The 7,204-nt window shown below is 40.2% G+C and overlaps 1 protein-coding gene across 4 annotated transcripts in view; it reads left to right on the top strand.

Moving 5' to 3' along the window:
- Nucleotides 1–7,204, top strand: part of OPCML (opioid binding protein/cell adhesion molecule like) — a 1,117,521-nt gene that overhangs the window by 274,264 nt on the left and 836,053 nt on the right. The gene's annotated exons all lie outside the window — the stretch shown is intronic.

The following is a 7,204-nucleotide window of genomic DNA, read 5'->3' as shown; positions in this document are numbered from 1 at the left end:
CCAAAACTGGATGTCGTTCATGGGCTAGGGCATGCAGGCAATGTCAAGCTATCCTCATCTTTGCCCTTGGTGCCAGTGACTTGCCTGCATAAGCTAAGGCAAGGGGACCCCAGGGAGAAGGTCCAGGACATGTCACTATTTGTGGTTTGTCATGCCAGCAAGAGAAGAGAAGGGCTATGGGCCCATGCTGAGCCACCTGAAATTCTCAGCAGCTGACTACCACCGCTTCTTAACTCACCCCCAGATACAATCTTAGAATAAATCTGAAGTCCAATAAGGTTTTCCAGTCATCGATAGATTTAATGGTCTTGACTTTGTATTTTCTGGAAGTTGGCTCCAAGGTGTTCAGCTACGTTGATCTCCTGGAGGAAAGTTAAAAAAAAAAAAAAGATAGAAAGACAAGGAAGGCGAGAAAAAGGAAGGAATAGGGCATCTGGCATAGACTAGATGCTCAATAAATGTTTATTGGATGATGAATGAATGGTTGGCATAAGTCATAACAAGATTGTTATCAATGCCAGAATGGGACCTATACAGCCTTCTTTGGGCACTGAGGAGACAAGATACGTTGCAACAAAAGGAAGAGAGGGCACTGAGAATTAGACACCTGAGTTCTAATCTCAGTTGAGAGGTGCTCTCAGCCATGTGGACACAGTATTGTAGCTCAGTGTGTAAGAACTTTAATAGCATAAGCTCCAGGGGCCACAGGAGCAGAGAGAGGCCTAGGCATCTATGGATGAAGCAGCCACACAACCCAACTTGTGATACAGGTACAGAAACAACCGATCGTAATGCAGCGTGATTCCTATTATTAGGGAGGCATGTTCTATGAAACTATGACTTTGTTTCAAATCACAGTAAAATGAGAATCATCCCACAGGGCTGCCTTTCTCAGAGTATTGCCCTTTAATTTAAGAACTCTCACTCATTTCTCAACACTTGGACTCCTATTCAGGAATAACCTTTTCTTGCACAGTTTTGAAATTATAGGTCATTGAGATAGAAATACAACTTACTGAGACGAATTCTAAATGCTTCTTTCATACCTGGTTTTGTCCACTTCAGTTATCAAAACTCTTTACTTTAACAGTTAAGTAGGACAGTGGTGTTCTGGAGTGGACCGAGGTAGGGTGCAAAGAGCTGATTGCTAAATATTTAGGAATTTTGCAAGACAATTAAATTGTTGGTAACCTAAGATTGGTCCTGGCAGTAGTGTTTACCCCATAGAAATCAGCAAACACTGTAAATCGGAGCATTCTTCTTGTTTTTTGTTTTGTTTTGTTTTAACTGTAGAGCTGGTCTACCAGCCCACCACTGGATAGAACTCACATGGTTCAGTTACCAGTTAAGAGAATTTACCTGGAGGAATTTTTCACAATAAATGTTTGGAGAATTAAAGCAATGCATGATAATAATACAGAATACCAGTCACTCCCAAACTGCACACTTTTAACTGTATTTTTATGTAATCTATATCATTATGTTTTATTACTTTCTAATTTAAAGCTATTTATGTGTTTACTTAAATACATTGATTTTTAAAGGAACTTTTTTGACAGCTGTAAATGGGAAAAAGAACACAGAACCTCTTAGTCTACACTAAATTGTAATAAATGAATAACTTTAAAATAATCCCACCACATATCACGTAAAATCATCCCACATACTTCTAGAAGTGTGTATAGTACACAATAAAGGTTATAAAATAAATTATTGTCATAGTCTACAGTGTTTTTTCTCTAAGGAATAATCATAGCAAAGGTTATGGTACATTTACTATGAATGAGGCATTACTATATTACATACACATTATGAACATATAATTACAAACACATTAATATAAGTGCATTAGTTACATAGATTAACTCATTTAATCAGTGTAAAATATCCTACAAGGAAGGTATTATTATATCCCAATGTTACACATAAGAAAACTGAAGCACAGAGAGTTTATATAGCCTGCCCAAGGTGAGTGGCAAAGCCCAGATGAACTCCAAACAGTTGGGTTCATCAATCCTTGCCCTTCTTCACTATACTTCATCACTGCAATGGCAACTCCTGCTAAAACTAAAAATACTTACAATGCTCGAGTTCCTTCAGGACTCCTAAACTTTGGAAAACTTTAGAAGCCATCCCATAGAAACAAAATCCATATAAATAAGAGTACAAATTTGTGATAAAGTTATTATAGCCTTAGCCGCCTTTGTAGCAAAAATAGTGAACGAAATAGTAGGTGAATGACAGAATAAATTAGGTTATACATACAACATGGAATATTAAATAGTCTTTAAAAAGAATGAATGCAAATTATACCAGAAACTTGGAGACATTTCCATTGGTATCATTGTAGAAGAAAAGAAAAATGCAGACAAAACATGTATAATAATCTCATTTTTTATAAAGTATACATTGAAAGTATCCTTTCTACTGCCAGCCATAGGGGTTTTAAGCCTTAAAAGTGCCTGCTTATCTAGTAAAGTGTGAAGGGAGAGCTGTTTAGTTTGTATTTCCCACTGCTGGTGAATAGGAACAAGATTCCATATACCAGCTTGCCATTTGTATTTGTTCTGAGAATAGGCCTTTGCAAATTTTTATTTGCTTATTAATCCCCTCTTTTTAATTTGCAAGAGTTTTGTTTTTCTTCTTCATTTTTGTGTGTGGCCTCTTCTTTGCAATCCCCCAATCCAAAAATGTTTTATTTGTCTTTTGGCTTTGTTATAAATTGTTTATATACAAAATGTTTTGTTTTTGATGGTATAGTCAGACATGCTTATCTTCTTTTTTAAAGCTGCTGGATTTTTTTTTCCAATCTCAGGTCAAAAGTGGGGAAAGAAGGAAAACCAAATAAACCCAAATAACACCTCGACTGGAAGTGTCTTCCTAGCAAGACTCAGAACCTAAAATATTCCCTATGTGTGCCATGCCCTGACCTTCCCTGTAAAATATCATTAAATCTCTCCAGACAGCAGGACTGGAGACATTCGTATTTAAGTGTTTTATACCCCAGTTTCGTGCTTCACACTTTAATTCCTGTCTATTAACCAGCACATGCAGGCACTGGGAGGGCTTCAGGGCCGGAGAGTGAGGAGAAAAAAAGGTGCAGAGGGAGTTGAGTTATGTTAGTGTACGGATGGCACAGCAACTCCTTGTATTTTATTATCCTAATTAGTGGGTATTAGGTTATATTTAAAGCTTAAATCTTCATTACATCCTATTACAATGGTGGATTTAAAAAACCTAGCATGTCTTTGAATCAAGGTAGAGCGTTAATTTGGCTTTCCTGCCTCTTATTTGGTCTGTTTGCCCGATTCTTCCCTTTTTTTGAACTCAGTGTTGTATTTAATGGGCTTGTCAAACCTACATTTAATTTAACGTTTCTCATGAAGATCCCCTGCTACCTGACAAAGTAGTGAAAGGATGACTGTTTCTCAGGTTCCCCTCTGGGTACCACATCTCCAGTGCACTCCCCTGCAAACTTGACTCTCTCCAGCTGTTCCCAGACACACAATTGCCCAAGTTTAAAGCTGTCCATTTATCTTTGACTCCTCTCACCTTTGCCCCAACACAATTTAGGCATAAATTCAAATGCAGTCTACAAAGACATCTGCTATAGCCATCTCCTCCTCCCAGTCTTGTCTGCTCAGGGTCTCTTGACTTCATCTTCATCTTCTTTGGCCTGAGTCATCATAATGGAATCAGTATCAAGTCCATCCTGCCAAAGCTGTCTTTCCAGAGCATATCTTTTGCCTTCCCGGGTTGAAGAAGCACTAGTGCTTAAAGGATAAAATCCTTGGTGTGGTACCCAAATGCCTTTGTTTTCTGATCCAAAACTACTTTTGTCACCTTATCCTGACTATTCACATAAATGATTGGCAGTACTCTTGTGGGATGCATGTTCTGTAGCTGTGTGAACAGGGAAGAAACTCATGCCCTGCTCTCTCTCATCACATAGTTCTTTCTGGGGCTGCATCGCCTTTCCTGCTGCCCAAAATGTGCTTCCCCCTTTCCCCGGGAGCCTAAGTCCTTGTCATCATTCAAAGCCCAATTCAAGTGTCATCTGCTCTCTGAATATTCCCTGAGGATCATAGTAAAAATGAATACCCCCTTTTTTGATGCCCCTTTGAATTTTTTAATACCCTGATTCTAACATTTGCATTTATCTTAGTGAATTGAGGTTCTGCTGTCTCTTGACTAATTGCATGTCTTTGAAGATAGGACCAGCATCACACTCATCTTTGTGACTTTTGTCCATAGGAGATTGAGAGTAATGTTCCCTAATATATGTTTGCAGAAACAAGAAGGAAGGAAGAAAGGAAGGAAAGAAGGAAGGGAGGGAGTGAGGGAGGGAGCAGGAGAAGGGAAGGGAAGGGAAGGGAAGGGAAGGGAAGGGAAGGGAAGGGAAGGGAATGGAAGGGAAGGGAAGGAGGGAAAAAGGAAAAAAGAAACTTTATGCTAACCTTTAACAATGCTTCCCTGCACTTAACTTGCTTGTGTCTTGTTTTCTTGCTTTGTTTTACTAGTTTGTTTATTTGCTTATTCATTTTAAGTGATATAATAGCACTTTTAAACTGGCTGTGGAAGGCTGCTTATAAGGTTTATTTGTTATGAAGATTTAAAATGTGACTCGCAAGCCAGGCGTGTTGGCTCACGCTATAATCCCAGCACTTTACGAGGCCGAGGTGGGTGGATCACTTGAGATCAAGAGTTTGAGACCAGCCTGGCCAACATGGTGAAACCCTGTCTCTACTAAAAATACAAAAATTAGCCAAGCATGGTGGTGCGTGTCTGTAATCCTGGTTACTTGGGAGACTAAGGCAAGAGAATCACTTGAACCTGGGAGGCAGAGTCTGCAGTGAGCCAAGGTTGCACCACTGCACTCCAGCCTGGGTGACAGAGCAAGATTCTGTCTTAAAATAAAATAAAATAAAATGTGACTTGCACTGACTATGTGAAACTCACAGGAAGACCCCAAAAGAGTACTCATCATTAGCATCATTAATCACGTGGTCATTTCTACACAGCTCTGATTCCAAGGCCTGCTAATTCCTTTATAAAAGAGAAAGATTATTTCTTTCCTTTTTTTTTTTTTTTTGAGACAGAGTCTCACTCTGTCACCCAGGCTGGAGTGCAATGGCATGCTCTCAGCTCACTGAAAGCTCTTCCTCCCGGTTTCAAGTGGTTCTCCTGCCTCAGCCTCCCGAGTAGCTGGGATTACCGGTGCCCACCACCACGCCCAGCTAATTTTTGTATTTTTAGTAGAGACGGGGTTTCACCATGTTGGTCAGGCTGGTCTCGAACTCTCGACCTTGTGATCCACCCGCCTTGGCCTCCCAAAGTGCTGGGATTACAGGCATGAGCCACCGTACCTGGCCGAAGAAGACTATTTCTATAGTAGAACCTGGGATTCACATAATCTGGGTTTCTTTAGTTGTGCTTCATGGGGAAATTGACCATAACCCTCCTACCTTTTCCCCTACTTGGGAAGCAGAATGAGGGTCAAGGGAAAAAAAGAAAAAAAAGCCCGAGTGGCTGTCATGCTCTAACTGGGAGCACAGAGAAATAGGCAGAAACTAGACTGGAGGTTTTATGGAGCAAAGCCCAATAGCTAATATTAATGAAATTCCTAGAAGAAAATAGCCAGAATTGAAAACCCTTCGGGAGACTCTGGGAACCATCTGAACTAAGAGAGTTAATCAGAAATGGGACCTCCAGAGGCTTCCCATCTCCAGCTAAGCACTGCAGCACCTGATCAGGTGACTTTGGTTGCTGATGGGTGACAGATTAATTTACAAGAACGCCAAGCAACAGAAATTTGAAAATAAAACAAATATACACTTTATAAGGGGAGGAAAATGTGATTTTGCACTCCCTAGAATACTTTACCCGAAGCTTCATCAACCCTATAATAAGATGATACCTTACCTGGATGAAACGTTAATGTTAAATATTATGAGAAATTTGCTGGAGATTGTGCTGTACGTATTTCTGGTCTAACTTGTCTCTCCTGTTTTAATAAAGAATATGTATGTATGTGTGTATGTATTTTAGAAATTTCCATTAGGAATTAATCCTGATGTCTTAATAGATTAACCTTGCTGGTGCCTAATATAATTTATTTTAAAAATGAAATTCCTACTACAGCAAAGATTTTAATGGGTAGCCTTTTTTTGGTATCCCTCTGGAAATATCCGTGCCTGAGGCTGCACTTTTCCTAAAGGCCCACTCCCCTGTCGACTCTGGGGGGAGGCCCTCCTGCACAACAGCTGTGAAATCAGACCAGCGTTTCTAGGTAGAATCTCTCAGACAAAGGATGGGACTCACCTACCCCAGCATTTTGCACTGCCTGAAATATCTTAGCCTTTTAATAGCATTAGCCTTTGCTCTCTTTTCCTACCCTTCCTCTCTGGGCAACCAAGAGGCATTTCACTACTCTAGGATGACAGGGAAATGTCTGCCTTCATGTTGAGGAGGCTCAAAGGACCAAGAACTTAGCACTTTCGAATGCCTGGTGCATTTAGGTTCTCAGATACAGGATTTTGACAGACTCTTTGATACTGACTTTTCTGATAAATTGTGATTTCAGCAATCATGTTTCCTCTTCTACACAAACCTTCTAAGACAACTTTTCCAGGTCTGTACCCCGTGTCCCCTCCCCCCCCCAAAAAAAGAACACAAACAAACAAAAAACTAGATCTGGTTCTTGTACACACTTGAAGGGGGTAAAGGAAAAATGTTCCAAGCTGGCAGTTCTTCCCCTGAAGTCTCCTTCCTTTATCTGCCATTTTCCATCTGACAGAGAGAACCTGCGATTGTTTTTATTTCCAGAAAATAATTGTTGGCTAGAGTTCTATGCCCTACACGATTGGCTCCATTTCAACATCATTTCTAGATGCCTGCCTGCTTGGGGCACTAAGGCTACTGCTCTATCCCCAGTCCTGCCATATAATCCTTTTTTTCTGTTCTATAAAATGGCTCCCGTTTGAATTCAGAGGGTCTAAAACAGTCTCTATAAAGAGGCTTCTGTTGTAGCCCACTGTCGTGAAACATGTTTTCAGTACCCTTGAAGGTTCCTACTTTTGATGAGGAATATATTTCTCCAATAATCTTTTAGCCATAAGCATATGAATGTGGAATTCCCTATATAAACATGATGGAGTTCTAAGAGTGACCACGGGTCCTTTACTCAAAGGAAAAGGCTTCTCTG

Source organism: Homo sapiens, chromosome 11, assembly GCF_000001405.40.
Source record: "Homo sapiens chromosome 11, GRCh38.p14 Primary Assembly".
In the NCBI taxonomy this organism is placed as follows: Eukaryota; Metazoa; Chordata; class Mammalia; order Primates; family Hominidae; genus Homo; species Homo sapiens.
This window is presented reverse-complemented; position numbering and strand designations above follow the sequence as displayed.